Source organism: Homo sapiens, chromosome 4 (assembly GCF_000001405.40).
Source record: "Homo sapiens chromosome 4, GRCh38.p14 Primary Assembly".
NCBI lineage: Eukaryota > Metazoa > Chordata > Mammalia > Primates > Hominidae > Homo > Homo sapiens.
Window position 1 is genome coordinate 85,924,890 of NC_000004.12, and position 17,145 is coordinate 85,942,034.

A 17,145-nucleotide genomic window follows, 5' to 3' on the forward strand; every position below is an offset into this window, starting at 1 on the left:
TCCTTAGTAAGAGAGGTTTACAACTTTTGTCCCAGGCTAATTACTGTTTGTGCTACCTTTCATTCCCACGGTGTTCTAGTTTGGATGACAACACATACGGTTACCTTATTCATAACCCAGAATGGCTAGCAAGTGACTATGTAAAATATTTGAAAACACCAGCTGAATCCCCACTCCAGTACCTTAGCAGAGGATTCCTCATAGTTATGCAGTAAGGAGTCCCCCTTTATCCATGGTTTCAGTTGCCACTGGTCAACTGCAGTCTGAAAATATTAAATGGAAAATTCTAAATATAAACGATTCACAAGATTTAAGTTGCACGTTGTTTTTTGTAGCATAATGAAATCTCATGCTGTCATTCCCAGGATGTGAATCGTCCAATTGTCCAGTACATTTACGCTGCACACACTACCCGCTGCCCATTAGTAGCCATCTTGGTGATCAGATAGACTGTCAAAGTATCACAGTGCTTGTGCTCAAGAAAGCCTTGTTTTACTTAATAATTGCCCCAAAGGGCAAGAGTAGTGATGCTGGCAATTTGGATATGCCAAAGAGAAGTCATAAAATGTTTCACTTACGTGAAAAGGTAAAAAATTCCTGATTTAAGAAAAAAAAAGTTGTATGCTAAGGTTACCAAGAGCTACAGTACAATGAAATATCTTGAAAGAGAGACCATGTTCACATAACTTTTATTACAGTATATATATTGCTATAATTGTTCTATTTTATTAGAATATTGTTATTGTTGTTAATCTTTTACTGTGCCTAATTCATAAATTTACTTTATCATAGTTATGTATGTATACGAAAAATATAGTATATAAAGGGTTCAGTAATATCTGAGATTTCCGGTGTCCAGTGGGGACTTTTATCCCCTATGGATGAGTGGCTACTGTACATGAGAGACACATACTCATCTGGTAATGTTTGCTAGCACCTCCAGGGTAAAGGGTTTGTGGGGAGCCTGAGGATGAATCTTTTCAAAGCTCCCATTGTCTCTAAAGACACTCTTCTCCCCTTTATAATCAGATTTCTGGAATTCCTGAGTTCAGAAGAATCTTTAATATCTACTGAAGAATATATTTTTGTTGAGGGATTATTTATATCAAGTGTTAGTTATTTTCTCCCCTTTCTCCTCTTCCATCTGTGACTTCCTGAAAAAAAAAAAGAATGCCATCCAGTTAATTTATCCAAATAAATGGCCACGGGCAGTCACATCAACCCAGAAATCTCAGAAATAATTCCAGTGGGACTGGGTGAGCTGTATATGTGAATCTTCAAATTCATGAACCTGGAAGGGACACTCAAATAGTTGATTGGTCTATAAACTTTATTATATGAGACCTACTTCAGGGATTTTACAAATGCTTGATTTGAATTTACATTTAAAGAGATGTATTTTAGCATATAGCACTCATAATAGAAACAATGCTTCAAAGAATAAATCTTCTCCTGCCCTCTTTGTTTAATAAGTATTATGAGACTGCAAGGCAAGCTTTTAAAGTATTCATTTAATTTGTAAGAAATCCTTTGTGATTTCTCTGAATATCAGAGTTTGCTAAAGTTAATAGAGCACACAAAACAAAATAGAATGTTAATACTGATAAGAGATCCCAACTGTCAGCCATAATCTTGGGTTTCAGATGATATATTAATCTAAGATTTCAAATGTTCCTATTAATATTAATAAATTCTGTTATTGATTGAATTTTAAATAAATCTTATAAATTTTAGTTTTAAACAATAAAGTTATATGACCCAAAAACCCTTTTACTTATGTTACACTGTGTATTACGTTTCCACTTAACATTTCATTGAAATTAACTTTTCTGCCGATTTGCAATATTTTAAAACCACTGTTTTAGTTCAACCTCACATTTTGTGGATTAAGTCTTTAAGACCCAAGGAGGATGAAAAACTTGCCAAGTGTCACACTGTGAGAAGCAGAAGTAAGAAGAAAACCCATGTGTTCCTCCTGCTTTATAGCAAAATAGTGTGATCTATTACTTCTACTGTGGTAGTAAAGAACCCACAATTATAAGTCCATGCCTTATTGATCGTATATTCTTCAGTATATGAAAAATAATAAAAGTTTTTAAACATACAATAATTAGAATTAATATAGTTTTATGAGTCATTCAAAAGTACTAGAATTGATACCATCGAGCAATTAGAAAAAAAAATCTGAAACAACCCAAATGTCCATCAACAGATGAATGAATAAACAGAATGTGAAGTATCCATAGAATGGATTATTATTAAGCCATAAAAAGGAATGAAGTACTGATACATATAACACCACGAATGAAGCTTGAAAACATTATGCTAAGTGAAAGAAGCCAACCACAAAAGAGCACATTTTATGATTCCATTCATATGAAAGTATAGAACAGGGAAATGTACAGAGACAGAAAATAGATTCGTGGTTGCTTAGAGCTGGGATGGGGGGATGAGGGGGTGATGGAGAGATAGCCAAAAGATACAGGGTTTATTTTTAAAATGAAAATGTTCTAGAATTAACTGTGGTAATGGTTGCAAGTATCTGTGAATATACTAAAAACCATTGAATTGTACATTTTAAACTGGGGGATTCTATGGTATGGGAATTATATCTCAATAAAGCTGTTTAAAAAATTCTGAATTGTCATAATCACCCTTCATAAGAGAATGCACTTTCCCTTCCTATCTTAGTTATGAAACCCAGGCCCTGTTAATACTAAATGAAAAGCACTTGATTAGATGGTATCTGTAAGGAAATTTAGAAGAGGAGGTGACATATCACTCTGATTTATCAATCACAGTATACCACCTTTGGATATGTTTTAAATGTATCTGTTACAAAGAGGGCATTTCATTGTGGCAATTTTTTAACCTGTGTTTTTAAAAAGCTAAAGTTTTTCATGAGGCACTGAAGCTTATCTTTATTCAGGTTGCACATATATGCAAAATATTCCCTCTTTGCCATTACAATAATAGACATTAGATTAAAATATAGGAGACACCTGAGGAGCTTGTCTAGTTCTTCAGTCTCCTAGAAATTAAAAACTGTTAGGTGGAAATGTAAATAAAATGTAGGGTTTTGGAATGATAGGCCTTTCCTTCAAATGAAAATGAATTTATAAAATACTCATATGGGGCAGGGAACCAAGGGAAACGTGAAAAGTGTTGAATCTACATAGCTCAACTTTGTGCTACCTGCTGAAAACCCATGCACAGTTGCTCCTCTAGTAATAATGCTAATTGAGAGGCACATGGTTTCTGCATAAAAGTCAAATTCAAAAATCTGAATGTCAAACATTTATTTAGCTTTGGGAAGGTTTCGTTTTCCTTCCTTCCTTCCTTCCTTCCCTTCTTCCTCCCTCCCAACCTCCCTTCCTCCATCCCTCCCTCGCACTCTCCTTTCCTTTCTTCCTTCCTCCCTCCTCCTTCCCTCCTTTCCTCCCGTCCTTCCTTGTGTATTTTTATACTGGGTTTCTGTTCAATTGTTTTTGAGGCAATATTTATGGAAGTGTCTAGTCCGGAATCTGAGATCTGAGGAGAGTGAAAATTCATTAATAGTTTTTTTGTTTTGTTTTGTTTTGTTTTGGAGACGGAGTCTCCTTCTGTTGTCCAGGCTGGAGTGCAATGGCGCATTCTCGGCTCACTGCAACCTCTGCCTCCCTGGTTCCAGTGATTCTCCTGCCTCAGCCTCCCCAGTAGCTGATATTACAGTCGCCTGCCACCACATCCACCTAAATTTTTTTTGTATTTTTAGTAGAGATGGGGTTTCACCATGTTGGCCAGGCTGGTCTCAAACTCCTGACCTCAGGTGATCCACCCGCCTCAGCCTCCCAAAGTGCTGGGATTATAGGTGTGAGCCATTGTGCCCAGCCCAATAGTTCTTGTAGCTCTGATTGCTTAGCCTAATGTTAGCTACTGCCAAAATCAGGTCTTTCCTGTATATTTCTGCCTCCTAATGAAAAGAGTTGATTCAGAGACCCAGCAAGGCAGTAAGAATACTATTTGTGAATAATCCTTACAATGAGTAATTGGTATGCAGGCAGACAGAGGTTAATTAAGAGGCAACGTGGTCAGGCAACGTGCACAGACCAAGTGCACAATCTTGGATATGTAGTTTTACTTCCCTTGCCTTTGGTTTTACTCACTTGTGAAATAAGAAAATTAGAAGAAAAAAATGCTTTCACTTCCTGTGAAAATCCTGTGATTACAGGAGTTCCCTGTAGATCAGTGTTCAGGTCAGTGGATTTTTCTATTGGCTGAAGTGCTTGAAGGGCAGCACTGTCTCTGTCTTCGTGGTGCTGAGTTACACTTTGTGGTTCTTTATTTTCTTAGCAGCGTGCTGTGACACAGAAGGTAAAATACCATTTGAACCACAGGGCAGAACTAAATAATAATAATCCTTTCAATGACAAAAGATTACCTACATGGGCATGCTAGTCAGAGTAATGATGTTTTTAATGGAAAGACCTTTTTAATACTCCTCATGGTCTTGTAAAGCTTCTGCCAAATGGCTGGGAAGGAACACAGAGGCCTTGGGGGTCAGTTGGGGTTAAGGCACTAGCATTCCAAATCAGTTCATGGAACAACCAGGTGGATGAATGATTAACCCAGCAAGTAAATTGTTCAGTGAGTAGGACTGAGAGACTTAGTGGACATGGGGGCTGGGGTGCAGAAAGTACGGGCAAGAGCATGGAAGAATGTTGAAAACAGAATTGGTTTGCAAACCATGCCTAGAGAAACATATATGTGTGTGTAAATACACATACAAATATGTGTTGATGTGTTTGCAGCTTTACCCACAGACTCTTTGCCACTGGATTTTAAACATTTTTCTGTTTTACAGACACACACATACACATGTATAAATATGTTTTCAGGGTATGCATGTTAAATCAGTGCTCACAAATGAATTCAATTACAAATCATTTGAAAGAAAGTAAAACTTGTATGGGAGGGGAATAAATGCAGGTATGAAGGGGCAAAAAGTTTACCCCCTGGGGGTTGGTTTGGTGCCCTGTGATTTCTGGAGGGGCTGAGCCAGCCAGCTGTAAAAGTGCTACACAAGACAAGAGCTGGGAAGTCAACACAAAGTCAAAAGAAAAAGAAAGGAGTTTGTACCGTAGCGTGGCATTCTCCCTCCTCCCCTCATCCTGTTGTGACTGCACCTGCTGAATGTGACCGGCGGGCACTGGAAGCAGCCGCAGCCACAGCCTTGGTGAGGAGCAACCGCAGCCCTGCCAGCTCCCTCCCAGTTCTCATTGAGAAAAGGGGAGACGGAGCAGGAGGAGGGGGAGGAGATGCTCCCTGCAAAGCTGCCTCCCCCCACAGATCCAAAGAGCCTCTTGGAATGGGCACTCGACTGTTCTGACGTTGTGATTCTCTCGGGAGTTTGAAGACAGAAAGGAAAGGGGAGAAACCTGCAGAGAGCATCAAAGGATGGGGGGTGCTATAAAAGAAGCAGGGGGGTCCTTTGAAAGAAATCTATCATGCACTGAAATGCTTTCTGGAGAAGGTGCCATTATTTTCCTCCCCTCTTGCTCAGATGAAAGGAGCCAGCAAGGACAGTCCTGAAATATTCCTCAGGGGACTTTTTGTCATTGTTCCTCTTTCCTCTTGCACAGAGCTATTTGCTGACCTTTCCAGAGGAATCTCAGTCCAGCTGAGAAGACAGTTCTTAATAAAAACAAAAAAATGCAAAAACCAATTCCTGCTGTTTGAATGGGAATGGTAGCTTGCTTGCTGCAGTTCTTTTCCTGTGACATTTTGGAATGTCTGCAGAAACTTAAAAAAAAGAAAAAAAAAACCTTAAAAACTCCCTGGATTAGGCAAGAGAAAAGGAAGTTTTTTTTTGCTAAACAGGAGTAAATGAGAGGTGGTAACTTATCCCTAAGCCAGGACCTGGATGATCAAAACCTTCAAATTCTAGGGATCAGCACTTCAAAAATAACAAGTAAACAAGCATGAGGAGTGGCTGTTGGGTTTCGCTCAGAGGCAGGTTTTAAAGGAAGCCAAAACCGGGTTCAGAACTTCAGGCCTGTACGATGCCTGAAGACCGGAATTCTGGGGGGTGCCCGGCTGGTGCCTTAGCCTCAACTCCTTTCATCCCTAAAACTACATACAGAAGAATCAAACGGTGTTTTAGTTTTCGGAAAGGTAGGTAGATAATATGTTCATGTCCTTTTTATAAATATAAATAATATTATCTTAGGCTTTAAGGTCTGTTTATGCTCAGATAAAATGGGAGTTTGGAAACCAAGAGCTTAGGACTGTACAAGAGTGATTTGTGCGTATCCTTGCTTGTCTATACTTATTTTCTGAGGTTCATTTAAATGTGTATATTATTGTCTGTGAATAGGTGGGGTAGGTGGGGCTTAAAGAATAGTGATCCTATGGGGATCACCTTGACTGACAGGGGACTAAGTAAGCTGGGCTGACCGTCCTCAGAGGAGGGGCCAGAGTGATCTTGGGCCCTTCCTAGACCCAAATCAAGCAGCCATGTTCTGACCCCTCAAAACAGGGCCCTCGCAAATCCCTGTGCTGTGTTCCCGTCACCTTGTTTTGATTCTGGCTGCCTGTGCTTGCCTCACCTCCCCTGTTGAGAAAAATTTGATAATCGAATTATTCGTGCTGACCCATTTTCAAGAGGCTTTCAACCATATTGATGAATATTTGCTGGGAATAGGAGTCACCCTGACATTTCAAATATATCACAAGGTGGCACTGGGAGAGGGCAAAGATAGAACTATCAGGAACAGGGGTGAGAACATAGAACAACTTATGATCAGTAAAAGAAACTAAGACATTTCTGAATTGACTTATTTGGGGGGAGTTAGAGAATACAAAATAGGTAAACTAAAATGTTTTCAGGAAAAGTTTATGGATCAAAATATTTATAAATATCTTTTTGCTTTAAAATAAGAATAATTAAATGGAATGGCTGTTTAAGTAGAAACTAAGTAATTATAATGTTAATGACATGTGCAGTAAGCTAATAATTTAGTCAGGTGCTGAGTTGAATGACATCTAGGGTTGTTTTTTCTCCCCCACATCTTTTTTTTGATTTGCCACCCATTAATTAATCTTCCCTAGTTAGTAACTAACAAAAAAAAATAAGAAAAATCAAAATTACAAAATACAGTGGGAACTTTTTTTTTAAGGAAACCATTGTTCCTGCAGAGTGCTTTCCTTTGCGTAGCTAAGACCTGGCAACAATCACCATCATATATTATCAGCAAGGATTTCAGGTGTTAATTTACATTCCTATCTCATCCACAAAGATAATTAAATGAGAGATGCATGTCTCATATTTTTATAGATCTATAGGGATTTTCTGAATACCATAGGATTGCATCATTGGTAGAGAAATTAACAATGACAGAAATTTTTAAAGGCTCAGGGACAAATTGCTTAAAGGATAGTTTCCCCTTCTAGTTCCCCAGCCCATCAGAAACTAAATTGGTTCTATGCAAACACGACTTTTCAGGGTTACTGCTGTCCATTTGTAACATGAGATGTCTGGAGGATTATTAATGTATCTTTAAAGGACTTTTTTTTTTTTTTTTTTTTGGCCTTTGTCACCTTCCCGTCTCCCATAGAATCCTTGTGAACACACTGCTGTTCCCGATGCCTTCCTCCCTTTCTCCTTAAATACTAAGCGGGGAAGGCAGTGCCTGGGAAGAACATTCCCATGGACTGGCAAATGGCCAACACTGGGTAGGGCACAGCTTCCATCTATCCTCTCCCGGGGGGCTATTTTTAAAGGCTGTCCTTTTCTCTTCAAAGCCTTAGTAGTTTGGGGAATGTCCAGCATTTGAACCAGGATGAAGAGTTTTTTTTATTTACAAAGCTGTATTCTGTCGAAAGGAGAAAGGAGAGGAGGTGCAGGAAGCGTTCAGCGGTTTTACGCTTCCTTTCCATTCTCTGGAGCCCGCTGCATCCCAGGCTCTCTCTGTTGAAGTGCTGCGTGCCCACAGTTCTGCAGTGGGGTCCTGGGAGCACGAGCGCTCAGCTGCTGCAGCCCCAACCCGCCGCCACCTTGCTCTTGCTGCAGTCATCACTCAGGGCAGCAGCAGCATGACGCACAGGAGCTTTACATCTTTCTTGAAGGTCTGGCCTTGAAAAGAATGAACTCGCCTCTCAATTCTGGGTTCCTAAAACCATGCCAACTTAAGAAGAGTGTGTTCTTTTGTGCTTTATTTAATCTCCTGGGTACTTAAGTGTTTCAAGAAGTGGCCTGGGTTTCTGCGTTCCTCTCCCAAGCCTGTCCGAGAACATCAGCTTAAGTCATTTTAAGGAATGCAATAAGGAGAATGTGTGAAGCCAGGAAAAATGCCTAGAGGTAAAAAAATGTTGACGTGGCTACTTTTCCTGATCCACATGTAAAATATATATATTTTTTTACTGTTGTCAAAAGTAGGCCAACAGCAGAGGAGACATGCTGCATTTCTAGCGGTTTTAGAAATGCTGTCAGGATAAAGTGTGGAGTTGAGTAAAAGTTTCCAGAGGCCTGGTTACATTAGAGCTTGCATGTTGTGCAAGCTGAAACTCACCTCTCAGAGCACCTTTCTCTTCCAGACCTCTTCTGTCCTTTGCTGCCCTTTCAACTCTCATTCTTTGTTTGGATACTAATTAAGGTCACTGAAAATGATTTCCCAGTGGTTTGAAAAATCCAGGAACCAAGAAACATCTATTAGGCAGGAAGCTCGGGATTGTGGTGCTTTGAGTTTATGTTCCGTTGAGATAAAGATTATAAGTGAATTTTTTACCCTGTTGATTTTGAAACTACAATTTTTCTTTACCTCTATAATATGACTATTAGCAGTGTAACCGATCCCTTGATTACCTGGGAATGCATAACACTGTGGTCTGAGCACTTGGGTCTAGTCGTAAGAGGCTAGATTCCTTGATTGTTGTGATCCCAGGATGCTAAATTAGATTTTTAAAGTCCACCTCTATCTTGATTTTTTCGTGAACTACTCCTTTCTTGGAGATAAGTTATCATCAGGTCCTCAGTGGCTTTTCCTACACAGCAGCCACTTAGTGATCATTCACCATTGCTTCTTCTTTATGTCTTTCCAGCTCCATTTCCATTTCCATCACCTTAGCTCTTTGTGCCTTTATTGCTCCATGTATGCAACTTACTTTAACCTAAGTAGTGGCTTTTCAAGACAGCATTCATCCTCACCTCTGTGCACCCCCAGCACTCTTCACAAATTCCTACAACACACAAGCCATCTTGTGAAGCATTTCCCTATCTGTATTTCTAAAACAGTGCTGTCAAGCAACTTTCCACAGCTCAAAGATTTTTATGATCCCCTATTGCTCACAGGAGGAAGTCCTATTTCAAGTAACTATAAAGGCCCTCTAACAAATTCTAACAATTCCCTGGAGTATAAGCCCCCTAATTCCCCAGACTATTTCATCCTTTCTCCTAAACACATGTCCTACACCACTTCTTCATGTCTCTTCACTTTGTTTCCTCTGCTATGATGCTTTCTTCTCCATTGTCTATCTCAACTTTATGCTCTCTTCAAGGCATCACTGACTCTAATTTCTTCAGCAAGCTTTCTCTGTTTACCAATTATATGCTCCTAACTCTATAGCTCTTATGTTTTATTTTTATTTATTTATTTGTTTGTTTGTTTTGAAATGATCTCATTCTGTCATCGAGGCTGGAGTGCGGTGGTGAAATCTTGGTTCACTGCAACCTCCGCCTCCCGGGTTCAAGTGATTCTCCTAGCTCAGCCTCCTGAGTAGCTGGGATTACAGGTGCCCGCCACCACACCCAGCTAATTTTTGTATTTTTAGTAGAGATGGGGTTTCATCACGTTGGCCAGGCTCGTCTCAAACTCCTGACCTCAAGTAATCCTCCCACCTCGGCCTCCCAAAGTGCTGGGATTATAGGCGCAAGCCACCTCGCCCAGCCGACAGCTCTTACATTTTACATATGCTGATTCTTGGCCACTGTATCCTAATAGCCACCTTGAGGTGCTTTATACGCGTTTGTAGTATACACACATGCACATATGCGTGCACATACACACACACACACATATTCATTCCCAAAGTGGAGAATGGCAATAGGTCTATTCAATCAGGGATTCAAGATCGATTACAAACTGGTGAGGTACAGTGTTACTATCTATTCCCAGAATCCATAGGCAATAGAATGTCTTTACAGTGGTGGTGGACAAGACCAACATCCTCTTTAAAATTTGTTGTATGTTATATATGTTGTAATCACATTTATGAAAATGGATTTGCCCAACAAAACACCACTATCCAAATCTATATAATTTTAAACTGCGTATAAGTGACTAGCTCATTAATTCATATATCAATGTTTTATGGAGCCTCTACCAAGTGGTGCTGGGAATGAGAAGGTAAACAAACAGGTTGTCTCAAATCTATGAATTCACAGACTCCTTGGAATAACGAAACATAAATAAGTACTTTGTGATAAGCACCACACCAAATTATCTATTAAGTTGTAGGTGCCCCTGAACAAAAGGCTGACCACAGGCTCCTGTGGAAACCCAGTGATTCACATAAACTAAAGGAAATCGGGTTTGGTCTTTGAAAGTTACAAAAAGACATTTTCTCCCATGTGATACTAAGACAATAGTGAGAATGCCTTGGAAAAAATTATGTTTGAATTCAATTAACATAACATAGTGAAAAATGAAAGACTTTTAGAATCATATGGAGCTGTGTTTGTATCCCAAATCTGCCACTTTCTAGATGTGTGACCTCAGACAGGTCACCTGCCATCTTCAAATCTGTTTCCCTGTTTGTAGAAAAGGGACCCCCTTGTAGGATGTCTGTGAATGCCAAATAAAGAAATACATGCAACTTGCCTGACTTGGAACCTAGTGTGTATAATTGCTCCAATGGTCAAAGACCTAGTCCACTGGGTCGCTATGTACACCTTGTAACACTTTCTTAATCCTTCCTAGCATTTATTATTCTCCTTCCTTCCCCCCTCTGACTTTGAAAAGAGTAAAGATTCTATCAACATTCACTGGTTACGATAGACCCTGAGCTCCTTGGAGTAAAGGATTTCTATCTATATAATATTTTGTGGCTACTTAAAAAGTTTGTGATAGAGTGAAATAAGCTTTGCCTTGCTTTGTTTCTTAGTTCTGTACTAAAATGGATGTATTTTACTTTGATTTGCCCATTTGCTATGGGTGAATGTTCATTTTAATGGAAAATTCTTACCATCCTGGTGATACCAGGATTTATCCTGCTAGCAGAGTTGCAGTAAGCAGAGGATAAGTCAAGGCAAATTCCCACTATGGCTGAGTATGTGATCTGCAGACAAGAAGGGATAAGGAACTCAAAATTAATGGCACGACCCACGAACTATCAATGAGTTTCATTTGACATTGGAATTATTCATTTATTTTCTATAATTGGGGAGGTAAAGTGTTTTATTTCCATGCATGCATTTATTCCATAAATGTTTATGGAGCATCTGTGCGTCACCCATCTTGATAAGTTCCAGGGACATAAACAAAAGGCCTTGACTGTGGTAAAATAGAATTAAAGCTTTGGAGTCCTTTATACCTGGGACCCATCCCAGTGTGGTCCTTGTGTCTGTGGCACCTTGCCTAAACCTCTCCGAAGCTCATAGGATAGATATATAGTATGTAGCTGCTTTCTAATATTTATTATAATAATAATAAATGTAAAACAATTATTTCATTATAATAAATGTAAAAATAAAATCCTCTTTTGACTAGTCCAGCACAGGTTAGGCATCTAAATAAATAATTTCCATGCAAAATGTTAAGGAATAAAGAAACATATCAAGCTTTGGGTCTAGAGTAGGGGATGAGGCAATGGAATGTCAGTAAAGACTTCACAGAAGATGTATGAGTTGACTCTTACAGGATAAGGTTTCCTACACTGACTTACAAAGGCAGGACCTACCTTCTAGAAGGAGGCATGAAGACATGACAAGCAATACATAGTTCAGCATAGTTTGAGAGCATATTGTTTGTGAGGAAGCAGAAGAAATGAGAGTGGAGATGCCACAGTGCCTGGCACACAATGGATGCCACCTAAACATTGTTGACTGAATGGAAGATGAAGAGGCTGAGATCAGCTTGTGGGGATTTTATTTTATAAAAAGGAATGTGGTTGCAAAGACAAGCCAGTGGGCACCATTGGAAGAGGTAAAGCAGAAGAGCGGCATGATCCGATTGAAATATTACAAAGTCCACCATGGCAGCACTTGGCTGGATTGGGAGCTCTGCTCTTCAAAAACTCATGGAAGAAATACTGAATATCTAATCTAATGCAGTGGTAAGGAGCTTGGAGGTGACCAGCATGGTGATTACATGAATAGCTTGAAGGAAGAGGAATGTAGGTTGATTCTCAGATGGCACTTCAATGTTTTGGGGGGATAGCTTGTACTGATAACCAAAATTAGGATTAAAAGACACAGAACAGGTTTTAAAAAAGAGATGACTTATTCAGCTTTAGAAATTTTGAGTTTGAAAATATTGAGCTATCCATATTGAAGGTTCTACTGGGCACCTAGAAATCCAATGCTGGAGATTATAGCAATAGCCCAAATTGAGATACAAACCTGAGAATAATTAATATGTAGTGAAATTAAGTGGAGTCTAGTAGAGTAACTGTATCAGGTAAAGTAAAAACGGAGCTGAGGACAGAACCCAGACAACTATTAAAGAGTGTAGTAGTTAGCATAGTCAAGAAAGAGACTGACAAGGGCATTGAGAGGCAAAAATCATGTAACATGGGACGTGTCAGGAAGAAGAAGGAGACTGACAGTTTTAAAGGGAGTGAGACATGAAGTAATACAAAGAACAAATTTGGCTGTCAATGATTTACCAACTAGGAAGTTATTGGTGACTGTAGAAAAAAGCCATTTTATTGTTTTAACTGGGTCAAATATCAAATTGCAAAAGTTAGCAAGTGGATGGAAAATGATGAAAAGGAGACAGAGTCACATACTTCACTGGGAATTGAGGAGCAAAGAGAATATGTAGTTACAGGGCACAGAGTCTAAGAAGGTTTAGATTCATCTTTGCTTATTTATTTTCAAGAAGAATGAAATATGAATGTATCTATAGCATCACAGTCACTCACTTCATAGGCAGCCTCTAGCTATTGGCTCTATAAATCACATGTAAAGGGGGACCCTTACAAACCCTGAAGGCTGTGGTGGTTTCTCTCTTGTGTGCGCCACTGGAAACAGCCACCTACCAGTATAATAAATTCACCTGTGTGATTTACGTTCTCAGTCTAGTGAAAAGTCACATCCTCGGTGATGCTTTATGACACACCAATGTACTTTCACAGGGAGGGGAGGTAGGCATGGTATTCATCACCGCCCAGAAATACTGGGGACGGTTTTGTCAGAGTGTGTGAAAACTTGCTGGGAGTTTAAATGGACATAGCTGGAACTGTTTGCATGACCCACATCCCAGGGAATATTGTAAATAGTGTGTCTTTTCTTCATGCTGCTGGCTGGGGGCAGCACATGACCTTTGTGCTTTTATGTTAATTTAAAATTTAAAGTTTCACTGCTCCCTCAAGGAAATTTTTAAATAAATCTGTTTTTTTAAAATGATTTTTCCCATCAATAGCTTTCCTCCCAAGGAGCATTCTTATGCAGAAGGGCAACCCACATCTACCATTTTAAGCCAGAAGTGTTTGGCACACTCTATTTCCAGTGCTACAGAATGGGGAGTACACGTCTATTAAAATTCTTTACTCATTCTTTGCAAGACCAGTTCTACAGCAGAAAATTCATTTTTCCACAGGAATTTTAAATCATATGTACATGTCTACATGCCCTAAAACTTTTTTATATATTATACTGCTGTATTAAAGGCATCAGCTTTATATAAAGGAAATTGCTTTGGGGGGCAGCATGCTCATTGAAGCTCCAGAGTATTTTCCTTCTCTTTTTTTTTTTCTGACCTCCCCCAATTCCCAATTTATATTTTCTCAGCACAAATTATTTATCCTAATGTGATGGGAGGAATTGAGGTCAGAAAGCTAATAAATGGCAGGTGTCTTCCTCCATTGCTGTTTTCAGCCATTGTGCATACTACACAGTATTCTGTAATAGCCACTGAGTGGCTCTGATATCCCACCGCCTCGAACAAGCCTTAGCTCCACCATTTACTGCTGTGTGACATTTGGCAAGTTACTTGACCTTTCTGTGCTTCAAGCTCCTCCTCCTTAAAATGCAAGGAATGGTGGTGCCTACCTCACAGGATGTTATGAGTTTTAAATGTGAGAAATGCAGGTAAACTGCCTGTAACATGCCTGGCATACATAAGTACAGCTTAGCTATTATCACTTTTTAAAAGCACAAAAAATGTACATGATTTTTCTCAGTTGTAGAATGTACTAATATTTTTAATTATGAGAAAATGAGGACTCATGACTGTGATTAAATAAAAAGGAAAAGGACTGATATTCAGGAATAAGCAAAGATTTTAAAGCTAAATAAATCTGGATGTGGACTTCCATTCTGCCACTTGGTGCTCTGTAACTAACCTCAGACAAATTATTTCATCTCTCTGAGCCCCAATTTTCCATGTATAAAAGGGAGAATGATAGTTACTTTATGTGTTTCTTATGAAGATGAGAGAATATTGTGAGGGACTCAGAATATAATAAATAATGAATTTAAGTTTCTCACTATAGTTTTAAAGTAAATTCTCATTTTATTATAAAGGCAAACCTGCATGTACAAGAAAGTAAAAAGGAAACCGAATTCACGTCTAAAGCAAAACATCCCTTTCTTCATCGCTTCCTTGGGTTGTTGGGGAAAAAAAAATCCCGAAAGCTTTGAGAAAAGAATGTTTGACTGTTTTTCATTACCGTACAAACCCAAATATTGGAAGTTTGGTTCATGTTTGTAGCACACATGGTCATTGAATTGCAACATCCTTAGTAGATTTTCTGTTGGATTTGGAGAGAACCCTTAGGTAATATATTCATCAATCCAAAGCAAAAATCGAAAGTAAAAAAAAAAAAATCACACATACATAAAATTTATTCCCAAATGTCAACATATTATTTTCTTAAATGATCTACAAGTCTTTTAAAAGGTTATTTACTTAATTTTGTCAGGATAGAGTTCAAACAGTAGAGGCAAATAAGCATCACGTTTGTTTTCAAAGCTCTCCACAGAAAGGGTCAATATTCTCCAACCTAACCAGTTTGTAAACCTTATTATTAAAACACTAGAATATCTCCAAAAGTTGTTACTACCATTGAATGGATTAGAATTTTGTTTTGCTGAAGGAACAGAAAACTGGCTTAAACACACATCAGCTTGTTTTTCTCACATTAAAAGCTATCTGGACAAAGGTGCTGCCAGTTTTGGATCAGTAGTTCAATAATTTTCAGCCTCAGCATGTCTGTTAATCTTTTAGCCTTTCCCTTGTGATTGTTGCCTAATGGACCAAAGATGACTGTAACAAGAGCCAGTATCATGCCCAAGTTGAAGACAGGCAAAAGGAGTGACTGACAATTACAGATGTCTTCCCTTTTCATCAAGAAAAGCAAGTCTTCCTAAAGGTTACAAGAAGACTTATTGACATTGAACAGGACTATGCCACATGACCACCCCACTGCAAGGGAAATGGAAGAAGTATTTAATTTTCCAGCTTCTACAATGGAAATGTCAAGGGAGAATGGGGTGTGAGTGTCTGTTGGAGTTAGTGAATAATGTTTGATACACCATTATCAAGGATCTACTTGTTCTAAAATCTACAAACCAAGCTAACTAGACCTGTTATCTGCTCTAATCTTTATTGCCCTTAGAAAACACTATTTCTAATTCTGCTTTATATACTTGAATATCGATACTAAGTTACTAAACATTATTTCCTAAATAGAATATATGTATTTCATTAGTGCTAAATTTGATACCAGGTGTAGAATAGTTGTGTTTCCTGTTATTGTTTCTACCTGAGCTAAGAATATTTTCTTTGGTAACAATTCGTTATTGCTTGAAATGTGACGGTTTTGCACTACTGAGTCCATAAAGAAATTATTTTACAGGTGGGGAGGCAAAGCATCTGTTGGTATGATCAAATCCTTAATCTAATGCCTGTTAAATAATTCCCCACACATTCTGAAGTCTTACCTAATTTCAACATGCACCACTTACTTTTCTTCCCCTTTCATGAAACTCAGACCATTAAAATAATTTCATGACATTCATTCCATCTGGGAACAGTGGAGTCACATCTGCTTTGGCTGTTTTTTCCCCTCTTTCTCATAAGTTGATAATTTTTACCAAGCTACTACCTAATATTAATATATTTCAAAAGTATTATCTCTTAATTAGTGGAGTACTGAGGGTGAAATAGTGGCTGTTTTTGGCCTAGGTGTATACACCAAGGAATGTATGGTTTGTAGGTGTTGTAAAATCATTAATAAATCTAACTAAAACTTGGCCTTCTTTTTATTGCCACCCTGTACTGCCAATTCTAAACAATGTACATGATAAAATACCCTACCTGTTAGGGCAAGCCACTGTGACCCACCTCTCCACTTCTAGTGTGCTCTGCTTTGTAAATTTCCATTTTTCACTTTCAAATAAGTTAATAGTTTAAGACAAGCAAACATTGTCTGAAATATTTTATATGGGAGAAAATTCAGCGTTTCTTTTCCTGGTTTTATCACCATGATTACAGTCATGACATCACAACTTGAGTAAAAACAAAAGGGGAAAAAAGAAATAGGATTTAAATGCAAATTGGACATAAATATAAAACTGTAATAAAGGTAGAATTTGACTATTTTCTGCAGCATATTTCTGCTTTTAAGCTATTGAATACCATTCCCTTCCTAAAAGGAAAAAAATAAATGAAAACCCCAAACTCAAGTTACATTTATTACAGTTTTTCTTATTTCAAAATCGATATCTCAAACTCAGTGTTTCTATTTTGGTTTGTGCTAAGCATAGAATACAAGAAACAGGCAGCATAAGGTAAATCATACCATTTGAGGAATTGTATATAATGAATTTGATTGTATAATAATGTGAAATACTGAATGTTAAGTGCTTGCTAGCATTCCAATCTTTGTTTTTCTGTTATATTGAATTAAAACAACAACAACAACAAAGTGGGAAGAGATAAATTT

At 38.4% G+C, this 17,145-nt stretch overlaps 1 protein-coding gene across 8 annotated transcripts in view; it reads left to right on the forward strand.

Annotated features, from left to right (window-relative positions):
* ARHGAP24 (Rho GTPase activating protein 24) overlaps positions 1–17,145 on the forward strand; it is a 527,517-nt gene that overhangs the window by 449,740 nt on the left and 60,632 nt on the right. Inside the window, exon 1 of one of the 8 annotated variants that reach the window (NM_031305.3) lies at positions 5,127–6,153. The exons of the other annotated variants lie outside the window; for them this stretch is intronic. Within the exon in view, the coding sequence (NP_112595.2) occupies positions 6,042–6,153 (112 nt within the window). The 5' untranslated portion in view covers positions 5,127–6,041. Of the gene's footprint in view, positions 1–5,126; positions 6,154–17,145 lie in introns of those variants that run through there. 8 annotated transcript variants of the gene reach the window in all.